At 40.5% G+C, this 18812-nt stretch overlaps 2 long non-coding RNA genes across 10 annotated transcripts in view, besides 2 other annotated features; both read left to right on the top strand.

Annotated features, from left to right (window-relative positions):
• LOC125312414 (uncharacterized) overlaps positions 1 to 18812 on the top strand; it is a 95450-nt gene that overhangs the window by 12141 nt on the left and 64497 nt on the right. The window lies entirely within an intron of this gene.
• The window catches only part of LOC101928565 (uncharacterized), a 31527-nt gene that overhangs the window by 12141 nt on the left and 574 nt on the right, over positions 1 to 18812 (top strand). The window lies entirely within an intron of this gene.
• Positions 1003 to 1203: a silencer, noted in NCBI's record as "peak444 fragment used in MPRA reporter construct". NCBI's record gives its function as "represses an SCP1 promoter by STARR-seq MPRAs in K562 erythroleukemia cells {active_cell/tissue: K562}" and the evidence as "EXISTENCE:reporter gene assay evidence [ECO:0000049][PMID:32103011]".
• Positions 8883 to 9083: a silencer, noted in NCBI's record as "peak443 fragment used in MPRA reporter construct". NCBI's record gives its function as "represses an SCP1 promoter by STARR-seq MPRAs in K562 erythroleukemia cells {active_cell/tissue: K562}" and the evidence as "EXISTENCE:reporter gene assay evidence [ECO:0000049][PMID:32103011]".

Genomic DNA, 18812 nt, shown 5'->3' with positions numbered 1-18812 from the left:
ACTCTGTATATGACACCTTCCTTCCAGGGTTTGCATATCAACATAAAAGCATTAGAGAAAATTCCCAGATGCTACAATTCCAGACATAAAAAATTGTCCAAAAGGCCTTTCTTTGCATCCCTGAAACCATACCACATTTATATCAGCCACACTTCTTAATTGGGAACAACAGAATCCACTGTATCCACTCTATATAGTTTAGAGGGAAAATGATGGTGGGGAGGTTTTTAAAAGACACATTTGCCCTCAGAATTATTGAACTAGCTGGAAAAACAGATTAGAACTGAAGCTTTCAGGAATAATGCCCAAAATCACACAGAACTAATTCAATGGGGAAACAACATATAAATCCCTGGAACTAGACTATTCTGTAGCCACTCCTCCCACCAGTACCAATTCCATTTTGATCTTGTGACTAGGGTAAAAGTTGGATGTCTTTACAGATCCAGAGTCAGTTGCTGTCTCATATTTGAATTAAAGTTTCATGTTTATGTCTGATTGGCAGAGCCTAGGCCTATCCTAAGCTCTTTGAAACATTAACTCATTTAAGCCTCAAAACAACCCTAAAAGGTTGGTACTATGAATATCCCTTTTTATAGCTGAAGGAACTGAGGCACATAAAATTATGTAACTAGTCTGAGATCACATGAACAATCAGTGGCAAAGTTGAAATTTGAATTAAGATGGTCTGGCTCCAAAGCTCAAGATTTCTTAACACTTTTTTTGTTCTGTTTTGTTGAAAATATTATATTCACATGTTTGCATCCTAGCTGCAAGGAGGTGAGACATTGGTTCACTTACTCAAATCTAAAAATGTTATTCAAAGATGACGGGTAAGCGTAAATATGACAGATGTCTACCACAAATTTATAGAATAGGTAGGGCCATTCCTTTATATTTTTGTATCCCCTTAAAATTGTGGAATGTAGGTACATTTCTGTGTATATTTACTATCCACAGTGGTGGTCTCTAAAGACAGCTCCACATTGCTCCACCCACAGCCTTCTGTGCACATATGTTGCTCCTCCCATAAAAAGGAGGAGGCTTATCTCTCCACCTCTTTTGAATCTGGGCTGACCTTGTGACCTTTGAAATTCTTTAGGACATTCAGTGAAATGCAGCAGAATGAAGCTATGCCTGGCCTTTAAGAGGCTGGCAGCTTCTGCTTTTGCACTGGGGAAACCAGTTGCCATGTAAGAAATCCATCTACCCTCAGCCTGCCATGCAGTAGGGAAGCCCAAGCTAGCCACATGGAGAGACCACATGGAGAAGAATACAGTCACAGATGGAGACAATTAAATCCCTACACATGTGTTACCCATAGAACCATCCCAGCCAGCTCCTCATCCTTCAGATCATCCTGGCCAAGGCTCCAGACATCCTTACACTGCTTTGTCCAAATTCATGACCCACATAATAATGAGCAAGCAAAATGGTAGGTGTCTTAAAATGCCAGATTCCAGGGTAGTTACACAGCAACAGATAACTTAGACACAAATTAACACTATATTCTCACCTAATTAATAATAAAAATTTTGCATCTCATTAAATTTCCTTTTATAGCAATAGTGAGCAAACTTTTTCTTAAAGGGCTACATAGTGTTTTAAGTTTTGCAGGCTACAAAGCAAAATTGAGGCTATTATGTAAGCTCTTAGATAACCATTTAAAACGTCAAATCATTCCTAGCTCAAGGGCCATAAAAAAATCAGGCAGCTCACCAGATTGGCCCATGAGCCGCAGTTCGCTGATTTCTGCTCTACAGCCTCGCTTTTGATATTTGCTTTGTACCTCCTGATAGGAACTCCCTATAACTCATTTAATCAAGACCCTATTCTTGAGCATTTAGTTTGTTTGTAGTTTTCTCACTATCTCAAAAACTGTCATATTAAACCTTGTGGTTATTTCCTTAAGGGGTGGTTTAAAGAAAACTGTATTTCACGTTGCTATTTGAGTGTGAGCAGCATGAGTCCTTCCTCCTCAATCAGGGATAATCTTTTTCTCTTTTGGCTTCCTTAGAACTCCATAGTTTGGAGTCAGACTATCACTGAAGCCCAAATCATTGCTTCCCTAAAAGAGATTAGCAATCCCAGGCCCCAGGGAGAACACAAGTGCCCCCTTCTCACTTCCTCCCTTTCCCTCTCAGCAAGAGGTGGCCAACACTAAGCTTTAGCTCCAAGCTTGACAAGCTTCCAGCTAGGAGGTGTCCCACCCTTCTGCAGGTGAGCCAGCCTCTGGCTTCCCCCAGCTCCCTCTCCTGGCACTTGATTCTTCCCCTTCAATTCTCAGCCTGCAACAGGCCCCACAGCGGAGCACAGCAGGACAGAGGACAGGATGAGCCCTGCTGATGTGGAGTCCCAGACAAGGTCACCTATTGGAACAGGCTCTGCGTAAGCCTGCATGCTCTAATCCTGTAACCCAACTATCTAGTGGAAATCCATTGCTGCTGACACTGTCCTTCAGATATTTTTAAACTGTGATAACTACACTTACATGGAGTACATGAAAAACAGAAGTTTGGCAGCTTTGCTGCTGCCCCACAGGCTGCTCCCCATCTCCTCTCCCCAAATGCCCCATTTCCTGCTTCCCCAGCCAGATCCTATGCATTTCTTAGGACACAGTTCTCACATCTTGCCTTTGAAAAGCCCAGCCTCACCTTTCCTCATTCATTCAGCTCTTTGGTCCAGCAGGTCTTAGAGTTTGCACACCACTTTCTCCACATCTTGTTATATTCTGGCTTGTCATATCCACTATTGTTCCACAGAAGTCAGCATTGTCAGCACAGCTAGATTGCCTTCTCAATGAGAGCATGAAATGTGATTTTACATCTATGGCCCTTAAAGCAGCTACTGGCAGTGCTGGGCACACAGCAAGGAGCTCATTAATTATGTTGATCGATCAGAGGTCATTTTAGGATTCAACTTAGGAAAATTCCAAACTACCCACTCAGAAGTGCCCAGTCCATATTGAGAATTCTGCAACTAGCGGTTTGCTTGTTTCTTCTTCAACTTTTATTTTAAGCTCAGGGGTACATGCGCAGGATGTGCAGGTTTGTTACATAGGTAAACGTGTGCCATGTCCCATCACCTATGTATTAAGCCCAGAATCCATTAGTTATTCTTCCTGGTGCTCTCCCTCCCCCCACTCTCCCCGACAGGCCCCAGAGTGTGTAGTTCCCACCCATGTGTCCATGTGTTCTCATTATTCAGCTCCCACTTATAAGTGAGAACATGCAGTGTTTGGATTTTGGTTCCTGCATTAGTTTGCTGAGGATAATGGCTTCCAACTCCATCCATGTCCCTGCAAAGGACATGATCTCATTCCTTTTTATGACTGCATAGCATTCCATGGTGTATATGTACCACATTTTCTTTATTTAGTGTATCATTGATGAGCATTTGGGTTGATTCCATGTCTTTGCTATTGTGAATAGTGCTGCAATGAACATATACGTGCACGTATCTTTATAACAGAATGATTTATATTCCTTTGGGTATATACCCCTGTAATGGGATTGCTGGGTCAAATGGTATTTCTTCCTCTAGGTCTTTGAAGAATCGCCACACTGCCTTCCACAGTGGTTGACCTAATTTACACTCCCACTAACAGTGTAAACGTGTTCCTTTTTCTCCACAATCTCACTGGCATCTGTTGTTTTTTGACTTTTTATTAACAGCCTTTCTGACTGGCATGAGATGGTATCTTACTGAGGTTTTGATTTGCATTTCTCTAATGATCAGTGATGTTGAGCTTTTTCTCATGTTTCTTGGATGCATGTATGTCTTCTTTTGATAAGTGTCTGCTCATGTCTTTTGTCCACTTTTTAATAGGATTGTTTGTTTTTCTCTCATAAATTTGCTTAAGTTCCTTATAGACTCTGTATATTGACCTTTGTCAGATGGATAGATTGCAAAAATTTTCTCCCATTCTGTAAGGTTGTCTGTTCACTCTGTTGATAGTTTGTTTTGCTGTGCAGAAGCTCTTTGGTTTAATTAGATCCCATTTGTCAATTTTTGCTTTTGTTGCAATTGCTTTTGACATCTTCATCACGAAATCTTTGCCCATGCCTATGTCCTGAATGGTATTGCCTGGATTTTCTTCTAGGGTTTTTATAGTTTGGGGGTTTATATTTAAGTTTTTAATCCATCTTGAGTTAATTTTTGTATGTTGTGTAAGAAACGGGTCTAGTTTCAATTTTCTGCATATGGCTAGCCAGTTCTCCCAGCACCATTTATTAAATAAGGAATCCTTTCCCCATCGCTTGTTTTTGTCAGGTTTGTCAAAGATCAGATGGTTATAGGTATGTGGTGTTATTTCTGAGTTCTCTATTCTGTTCCATTGGTCTGTGTGCCTGTTCTTGTACAAGTACCATGCTTTTTGATTACTGTAGCCTGGTAGTATAGTTTGAAGTTGGGTAGTGTGATGCCTTGAGCTGTGTTCTTTTTGCATAGGATGTTCTTGGCTGTTCAGGCATTTTTTGGTTCCATATGAATTTCAAAATAGTTTATTATATGTTGTAATTCTGTGAAGAATGTCAACCATAGTTTAATGGGAGTTTTAACATTGAATCTATACATTACTTTGGGCAGTATGGCCATTTTCACAATATTGATTCTTCCTTTCGATGAGCATGGAATGGAATGTTTTTCCATTTATTTGTGTCCTCTCTGATTTCTTGGAGCAGTGGTTTGTAGTTCTCCTTGAAGAGGTCCTTCATTTCCCTTGTTAAGTGTATTCCTAGGTATTTTATTCTTTTTGTAGCAATTGTGAATGGGAGTTCATTCATGATTTGACTCTCTGCTTGCCTGTTGTTGGTGTGTTTTTTGTGTTTGTTTTTAGAGACAGAGTCTCATTAAGTTACCCAGGTCAGCCTCCAACTCCTGGGCTCAAGTGCCTCAGCCTTTCAAAGAGCTGAGACTACAGGCATTGCCATCACACCCAGCTTGGACACTGGTTTTTGCTAGCCCTGGAGTCAAATGAAAGAGCCAGTGAAATAGGAAACAATTAGGAAACAAAGACCTGAAATCTTATCTGGTTCTCTCACTTAAGACATGTGAATTTGAACCTCATCTGTAAAGATGGGAGAATATAATACTTTATAATTCTATAAAGCTTTTTATGAGACTCAAATAAAAGCAGCATGCTTTGTATATATTACTTACTCAACCTGCAACCACATCTGAAAGGTGAGCGCTGTTGTCCCCATTTTACAGATAGAATGATAGAAACCTCAAAGTGAAGAAACCTATCAAATGTCATAAACTTAGCAAGTAAGAATTTTAACTCAAGTGTCTCTGATGAAAAGAAGGAAAAAAAGAGAGACACTGAGAAAAATAAATGTTTTACCTTCTCAACAGTTGATAATTTTAGTGTCTGTCCTAAATAAGCTCATTTGTATCATCTTCATTTTTGAAAGAGGGAAAAAAACTAAAAAGAAAACAGAGTACAAAAATGACATAAGGGAGTGAGGAAATAGATGGGGATGCCAAGAGTTAGGAAATTAGTTCAGTCTAGCAAACTTTACTAAATACTTCCTCTAGGCCAGGAACTGAGAATTATGCAGGGCAAACTATAAGAAGATGGTCTCTGCCTGTGAAGGTGGCAGAAGAGATTCACATAGAGAGGCTTGTGGGGAGAGGGGAAAAGGCTGAGAGAGGAAGAGAGGAGACAGTTTTGCACTCAATCTAGGAGGAGATGAAAGAAAATGAGGTTGCAAATATAAGTAAGGCTACATCTTGGAGGTCTCACTATGTCAAACCCAATAGACAACAGAGTGCTTCAAACAGAGGAGCTACGTATTCAGATATAAATGTAAATGTGTTTGCTTATTCATTCATATATTCATTAATTTATTTAGAATACCTGTACATGGTGGAGAGGACTTCTTCACAAATTGACTAGAAAACATATTTGGATGTAGAGACTGTAATCACTTCCCATACCCTCACCACCACCCTGGTTCTTGCCAACACTGTCTCTCTCCTGGGCTACTGCAATTGATGCAGGGCAGATTCTTTGCTCATCTAGGAAGGAATTCAAGAGCAAGCCTGAGGTAGAAGAAAACAGCTTTACTTGGTCAGCCAGGCAGTGTTACAGCTTCGAGACAGCTCCTGCAGAGCAGGGATACCCCATAAAAAGTGTGTGAGAGTAGCAGCTCAGGGGAAGGTCTGCATTTGTATTTATACCCCTTTTTAATGATATGCTAATTAATGGGTGAGTTATCCAGAATTAGCTAGAAAATGGGTGGTAACTTCCAGGTGTTGCCATGGCAAGGGGTGGTAACTTCTAGAGTGTTGCCATGGCAATCAATGGTAAACTGTCATGGCACTGGTGGGTGTGTTTTATGGAGAGGTGCTTTCGGTGCCTCCTCCTTGTTTCAGCCAGTCTTCAATCTGGTCTGGAGTCAAGTCCCTGCCTCCTACCTTACAATCGTCTCCTATCAGTCCTTGCCCCTCATAATCTAGTTGCAAAATAATAGCCTTTCAAAAATGTAAGTCAGAGTATGACAGTCCTTGGCTCAAAACTCTCCAGTGGCCCCACTCAGAGTCAAAGCCAAAGTTCTGACAGTAGTCTTCAAAGTTCCACACAATCTGCCAGCCCATCCCTATCCCTTCCGCTATCTATCTGACTTCCTTTCCTACTACTCACGCCCTGGCTTGTTCTGCTCCCTTCATAATAACCTCCTTGTTCTTCCTCAACTACGAGCTTCCTCTCACTGCAAGCATGATCCTGCCTGGGATGTTTGCACATCCTCTTAGCACTGCCTGGATCCCTCTTCTCTCACATGCATCTGCACGTTTACTCCCTCACCTCCTTCAGGTCTTCCCTCAAATATTACCTTCCCAGAGCACCTTCCTTTACCACCCTATTTAAGATTGCAACACACCACCCCGTTTCCCTGAACTCCCCACACTGCTTGTCTGCTTTATTTTGGCCACTTCATTTATTGCTGTCTGATATTTTTTATTGTTTTTGGTGTTCCCCCATTGCTGCTCTAAGGGTGAATATAAGAGCATGGATCTTTTATCTGTTTTGTTCATTGTATCCATAATGCTTAGAATGTCCTTGGCACACATTAGGTGTTGAAATATTTATGGAATGAATGAAGGGGAAAGAGTGCTAACGCCCCCCCCGACCCCCCACCCCCACCCCCGAATCCACTTTTCCTTCTTTCTGGGCACATGGTCACTTATCTAGCAACTACATTTCCAACCACCCTTGCAGGTAGATGTAGCTGACCAATGGACTATAAGGAGAAGTTATGTGGACCTTGAAATCAAATCAGCAGCAGCATAAAACAGACCAGGAAAACCGTGCAGGCCCCCGGGAGCTCATGTTCTCATACACAACTTCAAATGTGACCAAGGGGGATAAATAGACAAAGAAGAACCTCCTTTCTGCAGTCAAAGCTAGGAGACAAGAAGGACAATGGATTTACCTTTTTTTTTTTCTTTCTTTCTTTCTCTTTATTTTTCTTTTTTAGACAGTCTCGCTCTGTTGCCCTCGCTCTGTTGCTGAAGTGCAGTGACAGAATCTTGGCTCGCTGTAACTTTTGCCTTCTGGGTTCAAGCAATTCTGGTGCTTGAGCCTCCCAAGTACCTCCCAAGTAGCTGGGATTACAGGCGCCTGTTGCCACGCCCGGTTAATTTTTCTATTTTTAATATAGACGGGGTTACACCATGTTGGCCAGGCTGGTCTCAAACTCTCAACCTCAAGTGATCCACCTGCCTTGGCCTCCCAAAGTGCTGGGATTACAGGCATAAGTCATCACACCCATCGGCTATGGATTTACTTATCCATATTTCTCCCCACCAATTTGAAATGCCATCTCTTTATGAATAATGTCCATGTATTTCTGGGTTTATTTCTAGACTTTTTTTTTTTGCTCCATTGGTTTGCTTTTGTTTTCATGTTTTATTATCTGCTATGGCTAAGTGCTCCCATACCCTTCTGTATTAGTCTGTTCTCACACTGCTATAAAGAACTACCTGAGACTGGCTAATCTATGAGAAAAGAGGTTTAATTGACTCACAGTTCCACAGGCTGTGCAAGAAGTATGGCTGGGAAGCCTCGGGAAACTTACAATCATGGCAGAAGGTGAAAGGGAAGTAAGCACATCTTACTATGATGGAGCAGGGGCCTGTGGGGATAAGGGCCACATGCTTTTAAACCATCAGATCTCATGAGAACTCACTCACTATCACAAGAACTGCAAGGGGGAAATCTGCCTCCATGATCCAATCACCTCCTACCAGGTCATGCCCCCAACATTAAAAATTGCAATTCAACATGAGATTTGGGTTAGGACACAAAGCCAACCCATATAACTTCACCCCTGGTTCCTCCAAAATCTCATATCTTTCTCACTTTTCAAAACACAATCATGCCTTTCCAACAGTCCCTCAAAGCCTTAACTCATTTCAGCATTAACTCAAAAGTCCAAGTCCAAAGTCTCATCTGAGACAAGGCAAGTCCCTTCCACCTATGAGCCTGTAGAATTAAAATCAAGTCAGTTACTTCCAAGATACAACAGTGGTAGAGTCATTGGGTAAATGTTCCCATTCCAAAAGGGAGAAATTGGCCAAAACAAAGGGGCTACAGGCCCCATGCAAGTTCAGAATCCAGCAGGGTAGTTATTAAATCTCCAAGCTCAGAAATACTCTTTTGACTTCATGTCTCACATCTAGAGCATGCTGATGCAAAGGGTGGGCTCCCACAGCCTTGAGCAGCTCTTCCCCTGTGGCTCTACAGGTTATAGCCCCTGCAGCTGCTTTCATGGGTTGGCATTGAGTGTGTGTAGTTTTTCCAGGCATACAGTGCAAGCTGTCAGTGGATCTACTATTCTGGCATCTGGAGGACAGTGGCCCTCTCCTCACAGCTCCACCAGGTAGTGCCCCAGTGGGGACTCTGGGGGCTCCAACCCTACAGTTTTCCTCGGCACTGCCCTAGTAGCAGTTCTCCATGAGGGCTCTGCCCTTGCAGCAGACTTCTGCCCAGACATCCAGGAGTTTCCATACATCCTCTGAAATCTAGTCAGGGGTTTCCAAGCCTTAACTCTAGCCTGCTGTACACCCACAGGCCCAATACCATGTGGAAGTCAGTGAGGCTTTCTCATATGTTGCACCCCTTGAAGCAAGGGCCCAAGCTGCACTTTGGCCCCTTTTAGCCACAGCTGGAGCTAGAGTGGCTGGGACACAGGGCACCATGTCCTGAGGCTGCACAGAGCAGCCGGGCCCTAAGCCTGGCCCACAAAACAATTTCTCCCTCCTAGGCCTCCAGGCCTGTGATGAGAGGGGCTACTGCAAAGGTCTCTGAAATGCCCTGGAGAGATTTTCCCCATTGTCTTGGCTATTAACACTGGGCTCCTCTTTACTTATGCAAATGTCTGCAGCCAGCTTGAATTTACCCATGGAAAATAGGTTTCTCTTTTCTATTGCATGGTCAAGCTGCAAATTTCACAAACTTTTATGCTCTGCTTCTCTTTTAAATGTAAGTTCCAACTTCAGATCATCTCTTTGTTCTTGTATATGAGCACATGCTTTTAGAAATAGCTAGATCACCTCTTGAGTGTTCTGTTGCTTAGACATTTCTTCTGCCAGATACCCTAAATCATCTCTCTTAAGTTCAAAGTTCCACAGATATCTAGAGCAGGGGTACAATGCCACCAGTCTCTTTGCTAAAGCATAACAAGAATGACCTTTACTCCAGTTCCCAGTAAGTTCCTTATCTCCACCTGAAACCTCCTCAGCCTGGACTTCATTGTCCATATCACTATCAGCATTTTGATCAAAACCATTCAACAAGTCTCTAGGAAGTTCCAAACTTTCCCTCATCTTCCTGTCTTCTTCTGAGCCCTCCAAACTGTTCCAACCTCTGCCCATTACTCAGTTCCAAAGTCACTTCCACATTTTCAGGTATCTTTATAGCAATGCCCCACTCCCAGTACCAATTTTCTGTATTAGTTCGTTCTTGCACTGTCATAAAGAACTACCTGACACTGGGTAATTGATGAAGAACAAAGATTTAATTGACTTGCAGTTTTTCAGGCTATACAGGAAGCATGGCTGGGAGGTCTCAGGAAACTTACAATTATGGCACAAGGTGAAAGGGAAGCAAGCACATCTTATCATGGTGGGGCAGGAGTAAGAGAGTGAAGGGGGAAGTGCTACACACTTTTAAATCATCATATCTCATGAGAACTCACTCACTATCACAAGAACAAAGGGGAAATCCACCCTTATGATCCAATCATCTACCACCAGGCCCCTCTCTCAACATTGGAAATTACAATTCAACATTAGATTTGGGTGGAGAGACACAGCCAAAACATATCACTTTCATTACTTTTTTTTTCAAAAGATACCTAACAATTCTTGTAAGAGAGATGCATTTTAGAAGTATTACTTGTGAAATATTATTCAGTCATAAAAAATAAGGAAATCCTGATATTTGCAACAACATGGATGAACCTGAAGGACATTATGCTAAGTGAAATAAGCCTGACAAAGAAAGACAAATACTATGTGATCTCACTTACGTTTGAAATCTAAAGGGGCTGAACTTACAGAAGCAGAGAGTACAACAGTGGTTACCAGGGGTTGGGGGTCCGTGGCAGGAGGACAAAAATGGGGCAGTGTTTGTCCAAGAGTACAAAGTTTTCGTTACAAAATGAGCAAGTTCTGCAGATCTAAGGAACAGCATGAGTGGTGATGGATGTGTTAACTAATTTGATTGTGGTAATCATTACATAATGTATACCTATATCAAATCATCACGTTGTACACCCTGAATATACACAATCTTTATTTGTCCATTAAATATTTTACCTTAAAAATAGAAAAGAAACATTACTTAGGCAGCAATTTGGAGGATGTATTGGAGGAAGACAAGATTATAGCTGCTACATTAATCCAAATAAAAAATGAGGATGGAAATGCCAGCTCCAAGAATAAGAGACGATCCTTCCTCCCCAACCCTGGTTTCTGGCAATGCTCCCCTCCTACCAGGCTTTGATATTGGCAGTTACTTTGTATGAAGAGGCTGGGACAGATTAAAGAGATCTTCAGAGATGCAGCCTAACTTGGTGACATATTGGATGGTGGTGATGAGTGAGAAAACGATGATTCTGAAGTTCCCAGCCTTGGCAAGGGGATGAATGTTAATATCTTTTCTGGCATCACATGAGAAGGGAAGCAGATTTGGGGAGTAAACATAGTGAACTAAGTTTGAGGGTTTGTTGGTTATCTAGAATGGACTCTCCAGCAGGCAGTACTATATATATATTTATATATTTATATAAATTTATATATATTTATTTATATATATTTATATATATATTTATATATTTATATATATTTATATTTATTTATATATATATTTATATATATTTATATATTTATATATATATTTATATATATTTATATATATATTTATATATTTATATATATATTTATATATTTATATATTTATATATATATTTATATATTTATATATTTATATATATATTTATATTTACTTATATATATTTATATATATATTTATATATTTTATAATTTTTTTTTTTTTTTTTTTTTTTTTGAGACGGAGTCTCGCTCTGTCGCCCAGGCTGGAGTGCAGTGGCGCGATCTCGGCTCACTGCAAGCTCCGCCTCCCGGGTTCACGCCATTCTCCTGCCTCAGCCTCCCGAGTAGCTGGGACTACAGGCGCCCGCTACCACGCCCGGCTAATTTTTTGTATTTTTAGTAGAGACGGGGTTTCACCTTGTTAGCCAGGATGGTCTCGATCTCCTGACCTCGTGATCCGCCCGCCTCAGCCTCCCAAAGTGCTGGGATTACAGGCGTGAGCCACCGCGCCCGGCCTTTTATATATTTTTATATATTTATATTTTTTTATATATATACACACACATACATATATACACACACACATATATACCTATATACATATATATACATATGTATATATGCGTGTGTGTGTGTGTGTGTATATATATGAGTATATATATATATGTAGGGTCCAAGTTCTGGAGAAAATTTAGGGCTTGAGAGTTGTACCTGCCAGTTCTCTCTGAAAATGGAGCATGAGTTAAAGCTTTCATAAAAGATCCCTGGAGGAGGAATGCCTCAAGCACTGTTACTAATTCACTGGGCTCTGACTCATCAGTGGGATTTCCAACTAGTTCTAGTTTTGCTCTGCCTTAGTGGTTAGACCCTGGAACTCCATGAGACCAGAAGAAAAGGGAAAAACAATACTCCCAGAGAAAAAGAAAGCTAGAGCCATCCTCCTTATGGTGGGAAGGAAAACTCATTCATCAGAGATCACTCAGTGGTGAAATGATATGCATAATTTACTCCAAAGCAGGACAAAATACGGAGTCTGAAGTCAATTATGTTGTGAAATTAATTGGAAAGCTTTAAGTCAGCCATGCAAAGCTTAAATTTTATTCTCATCATGTCCCTGTTGTTTTAAGCTTCCCAAGCCAGTCTTATGTTTGTAATTGACTCAGTTCTGTATGAAAGCTGCTTAGAGCCTTGAAATGAGGCTTGGTTCCTGAGTCATTTCACCTTGAATGCACTTGGGATTTTTTTGGGGGGGTGGCTAAAACACATGAAAATTTTATCAACATGCGCTGCTAAAGAAAATCATCATTTATTCCAAGGGGGAATAAATGGTGATTTAAATAATTTATTTCCCAAATATTCACATTTAGTGCTTTTACCGATCATTGCCTTTTCTCATATGTCCCCTTTGCTTCCTTTTTGAAGGAAGGGACATTATTCTACTTAAGTCTAGCACATTACCTGGCACATGAAAGATATTCCACAAATGTTTGCTGAAATGGGTAAAAATATAGATAACAATTCTTATCGTGGAGGAAATGGGACATAAGGGGGTATCAGTGTTAGAAAAGACATTTTAACTACAGCACAGGTGGCAAGTAATAGGAATTCAATATTACTCTAAACCATGGTGACCATTATTATTAGGATGTGAATCAAAAATAAGTAAATTATTAGGGCTGTTTGCTCTGCCTGTTTTCTCTTCTGCTGCAGAGCTTTTATTAAATGACAGTTGGTACCTACAGTGGAAGGTATGCAGGATTAAGAGAAAGAAAGAAAGCTCTAGTTTCTTTGATTTCCCTCTCAGAACAAAAGTGTGCTAGGGAAAGATATTGGATTGTCTGGTTAAAATGAAGTGCAGTGTTTGCTTGTGGGTATTCATTTGCTAAGTTATCCTTGTTTTCTATTACAAATTAAAAACATTACAAAGTGCTTGCCTAACTAGGAAATATTTGTGCCACCAAGTTTCTCAGATTAGAGACTCAGAATACTGAACTGAAGAAATAGCCCATATAAAATAATATGCAACATTTATTGACCATCTAGCAAATGTGCCAGGCAATGTTCTAAGTACTTCACATGTATTAATTTATTTAAACTTCACAACAACCCAGCGAGGTAGGTGCTGCTATTTCCCCCTACTTTGCAGATGAGGAAACTAAGGAACAGAGCAATTAAGTAGCTTGTCCAGGCAGTCTGTTCCAAAGCCTGCTCTGAACCATTATACAGCACTGCCTCTCCACAAGCAAGATGCCAAGATAGGGTTCAGATGAGGCCCAGAGTGACTCATGCTCGCCACGGTTGTCACTGCAGATTAAGCCAGAGCAAGGCCACCGCTTCCTCCTCACCCTTCCCAGCCAAAAGTAACATCTGGGGATTGGCTTCCTGCCGGATCCGCAGGCACTTTTAATGCTTGTCTGTCTTGGGATTCTGTAAGCCCCTAAGTCTCCTTTTGAATCAATTTGTATTACATGACTTATTACTATCTTTACTATCTTGAAAAGGAAGCTCCACAGTTTAATAACAAACCAGGACAGAAATGACTTCTTAAAACACTGGCTCTCCTGCCATTTAGTGTCCCAGAAAGTTTGTTCCAAGTCCCATCAATTGCAGGGGTTTCTCTTCTCAACAAAATGAGACTTTCTGGTGACAACTTATTACAAAAGAGATGCCCTGCCTCCACCCAGCTTGAACGCTCACACTAATCATATAAAAGGAGGAATATACGTTTGGGCCAACTTGGTTTTACAGAGGAAAATGGAAATACTCTTTTCTCTAGTTTATTTGACTTGCCCAAGGCTAATCCAACATAAAGCAGGAACTGAAGGTCATGGTCATGAATCTGATTTTTATTACACATGTGGCACTATTAGAATTCTTTGCTCTAACAAACAGCTTTCCATCTTCCCAGAAAAAAAAACATATAAAGTATTAATTTACTTATTACATATAAAATTATTTGTGTCTGTACTTGTAATCCCTCAACCATTTCATTGTAATAGGTTGGTCAATAATCAAGGTCAACCAGGTCATCTGTTACTCTATAGCCACCAACATAGCCTCTCCCTGACCCCCCAGCTTCTACTTGCAGCTCAAAGCATTGCTGATGGGCAGGTGTCCCTGTCAGTACAGGGTCAAGTCAGCACTATTTTCTCCTTCCCATCCCTTCTCATAAATTTCTAGCTATACCTCATCTCTTCTTTCTCACTTCTGTTCCTGAGAGGATCAAAGTAAAATGATAGCTTGGGAAATTCCTGACCTATAAAGCTGAGAAGCTGAGGAGAGACCAGACCTAAGCCCAGAGAGGAGCTGGGACCATATTCTTTGGCACACATTCTACTGAAGTATCAAGCATGGTAATGGACAGTCCGCAGTTCTACTTCAACCTCTAATTTTTATATTTATTCACAAAATATGTATTAAGCTTCTATTACTATATGACAGGTGCTGTGCCAGGTGCTAATAGTTTTTTTGTTTTGTTTCGTTTTGAATTGTTTTGTTTTGTTTTTTGGTGGTGAGAAGACTGGTTAGACATTTCCTTATCTCCTCTCCCAGCCAAGTTAACCCTCCTCTTTCTGCCTGAAAGATGCCATGATCACTGTCCAGTCTGAAAGAAGATCTGTGATTAAATGTTTCGAAAGGTAGCTCTGCACTATGAGAATCTTGGACCTGAAATGGAATAGGAAATGTCTTGGCCAGGTTCATGGACACAATTCTAGGACATGACTCTGGTTCATGACTTAATTCAGTATGTCTGATTCGTAGACTCTTCCTGCTTCAGAAAGATGATCTCGTGTGCTTTTCTTAACATTTTGATCCTTAGCCAGTAGGTAAGATCAGATAATCTCCTTCATGCTTCTTTTCAGGATATGCTATTCTTTCAAATTTAGCCAAGACAGAGGATTCCATTCCAGACATTCTTTCCATGAATGGCATTCAGTTAGGAATGTTGTTATGCTTCCATCTTTTTTCACTTAATAAAGGCTTCAGCCAATCTAAGTTACAAATAAGCCTGACCCTACTGAGTTACAAAAGTTATGTTTTCTGTAGCTGGTTTAAGAGAACTGGAATCTGAATTGGCCTTCTCCAAGACTACAAGATTGAGTTGGATGACCTTTGCAAAGGTTTCTGGGAGGCAGCTAGACTAAGAAGCATGGGTCTTTCCCCTTCCTGCCTGGAAAAGTATACAGCATGTATAGTTTACCCCTTGGACAGAGCTAGTCCCAAGAAAATTCCTAAAGCTGGAAAAGCTGGCTACTGAACACCTAATACTCAGTTTCTCTTTTCTAAAATTCCTCCTGCTCTTAGAAACTCCCCTATTGCCCAGATGTCATGCAACTAAATTATATTGCAACCATACAATGGAATACCGTGCAACCATTAAAAAAATATTGTGGAAAAATATTTAGCAGCATGCAAGTCATTCAGGTATTCCCCCAGGCCTCCAATTCTCAATCAGAGCATAAAATTTGTCAAATATTTTACTCTGGTCATTGTTTCCTGAGCATGTAAAACCACACCATTTCCTGCACCAAGTCAAGGTTTACGGTCTTAGTTCCAAGAACTAGTTTATAAGTAATAAACCAGACTATTTCCGGTTAGACTAGCAATAAGAAAATATACTATAATTGTTCTTTTTATTGAGAAGCAGTGACATGGATGTTTATCCATCCTAACATTCTCAAAGATGCAAACTTCTCACTGGAATTTAAAAGACATCCTTTTTGAGTAACCATTAGTTAATACTATTGTTTTTCGAATAAGATATAAACCCTAGTCCATCAGTTCATGGCTAGGGGATTTTGAACATGTAACTTAATCTCTTTAAGGCTCAGTTACTGTATTGACAAAATGCAACTACAATAGTATTTATCTCATGTGGTTAATTGAAAAAGTAAACAAAATAGTATGTACACAACTTATATAGTTCCTAGTAGTCAGTAGATTCTCAATAGATGTCAGCTATTATGCAAACTGCAGGACCTCAGTTTTATCCTCCAGCCTGTATTTAAGAAGGGAGTTGAGAGAGTCTCATCCTCATGGATAAGAGCAAATCACAGACTTCACCAGAGTTTCTAGTCTGTCTTATGAGGGAGTCAGGAATTAAAGAACAGCTTTGTATGATTCTCTGTTTTGTTTTTGACCCAGTCTCTCTCCCCTGTGAAAAGCAGCAAGAGAGGTTTCACTTCTCTATGAGACATAGCAGGGAAGCAGGACCTTGCTCTGGAACCAGTCTTAGGGAACTGTTAAGTTTAAAGCGTACCAAGGGACAAAGCAAGGAGAATGGCCTAAAAGGAGAGAGAAGCCAGCTGAGACCATAGGGCCTTGGCAGTGGCAAAAAATAAGGGCAATTTGGGAAGACAAAGATGGGCCTAAGAAATTGTCTTGGGAATGAGCAATAGGAGGCCTAGGTAGGATTCCTGTTATACAACAACTCTTTCCCATCAGGAAGCCAAAACTACTCTTGGACTTGGTAATTCCCCTGTCCATATGACACCTTAGCCAAAAGGGTAAATCTAATTCCAGTAAATGAAAGTATTTAGAGTCCTCACAGTGAGGAAAACTGTCTGCAGGCACTGGTGCAGAAATGTCGATGAGTGAGAAACTCCAATATGTTTGTTTTGAGAGAAAGAGACAGAGACACCCACAACCACTGTAAGTCAGAACGTGATCCCTGTGCTAGCAGAGGTACAATGTGCTGTGGGGCATGGGGGAGGTAGCTCCAGTGTACTTACTAAGAAGCGTGAGCATGTGTAAGAGTGGGAGGTGGAGAGGGAGGGGCAAGAATCAACATGAGATTTACAACAAGAACATCTCTTTTCCGGGACTGCTGACATATCCTGGGCTTTCTGCCAGCTCTGACCACCACCTGTTCAAAAACCAGAATGAAAAGCATTCCCCTTCCTCAGATTCATGTTGACTTGCTCTTCCTTCCCATTATAGTTTGCCTCCCTTTGCACTTTCCAAGAAATTATAACCCTGGGCTCAAGTGAAAATGAGGATCATCTGATTTCAGCTTGTTAACAAGGAATATTGGAGAGTCTGAATGGTGACGACCATCCATGGCCTGTTGATATATAGTGTGTGCCTTTCTGCCCTGCCTTGTTTGCTGGTCTGAGATTTTGCACCCTCTGTGAGTGGCTAGAGAATTAGGTTACTTCCTAACTGCTTTCAGGCTCACCGTTTCCCTCAAAAATCCTACATTCCAATTCTTGAGGTCAGACTTCTTTGGGGCTACAAGGTAAAGGCACTGGCCTTGTTTTCCTAGTTCCTCTCGGTGTGATGTTAGATGTTTAATTTGAGATCTTTCTAACTTTTTGAAGTACGCATTTAGCACTATAAACTTTCTTCTTAACACTGCTTTTGCTGCATCCCAGAGATTTTGGTATGATGTGTCTCTGTTTTCACTTATTGCAAAGAATTTTTTTTATTTCTGCATTAATTTTGTTGTTTACCCAAAAGTCATTTAGGAGCAAGGTATTTAATTTTCATGAATTGTGTTGTTCAAGAGATCTTTTTGGTATTGATTTTTGTTTTTATTCCACTGTGGTCTGAGATTATGGTCAGTATAACTTTGATTTTTTTTTAATTTATTGAGGCGTGTTTTATGGCCAAGCATGTGGTTGATCTTGGAGTATGTTCTGTGTCTGTGTGCAGATGAGAAGAATGCGTATTCTGTGGGTGCTGGATGAAGTATTCTATAGGTGTCTATTAGGTCCAATTGGTCAAGTGTCAAGTTTAAGTCCAGAATTTCTTTGTTAGTTTTCTGCTCAGTGATCTTTCTAACACTATCAGTGGGGTGTTGAAGTCCCCCACTATTATTGTGTAGCTGTCTAAGTCCTTTCATAGGTCTAGAAGTAGTTATTTTATGAGTTTGGGTGCTCCAATATTGGATGCATATATATTTAGGATAGCTAAGTCTTCCTGTTGAATTGGAAACTTTATCATTATGTAATGCCCTTTTTTGTCCTTTTTTACTGTTATTCGTTTAAAGCCTGTTTTATCTGACATAAGAATAGCAACCCCTGCTCTTTTTTGTTTTTCATTTGCATGATAGGTCTTTCTCTGACCCTTTACTTTGAGCCTATGGGTCATTACATGAAAAGTCAAAAACAATAGATGCTGTCAAGGCTGTGGAGAGAAGGCGATGCTTATATACTGTTGGTGGGAACGTAAATTAGTTCAGCCATTGTAGAAAGCAGTTTGGAGATTTCTCAAAGAACTTAACCATTCAACCCAGCAATTCCATTACTGGGTATACATCCAAAAGAAAATAAATAGGACACATGTACTTGCATGTTCATTGCAGCACTAAATGCACCATGTCTTTTGCAGCAACTTGGATGTGGCTGGAAGCCATTATCTTAAGCAAATTAACTCAGGAACAGAAAACCAAATACTACATGTTCTCACTTATATGTGGGAGCTAAACATTGGACATAAAGATGGCCACAATAGACACTGGAGAGTACTAG

This window comes from Homo sapiens, chromosome 1 (genome assembly GCF_000001405.40).
Source record: "Homo sapiens chromosome 1, GRCh38.p14 Primary Assembly".
Classification (NCBI taxonomy): domain Eukaryota; kingdom Metazoa; phylum Chordata; class Mammalia; order Primates; family Hominidae; genus Homo; species Homo sapiens.
The sequence above is the reverse complement of the archived record's forward strand: the minus strand, read 5'-3'. Positions and strand labels throughout refer to the sequence as shown.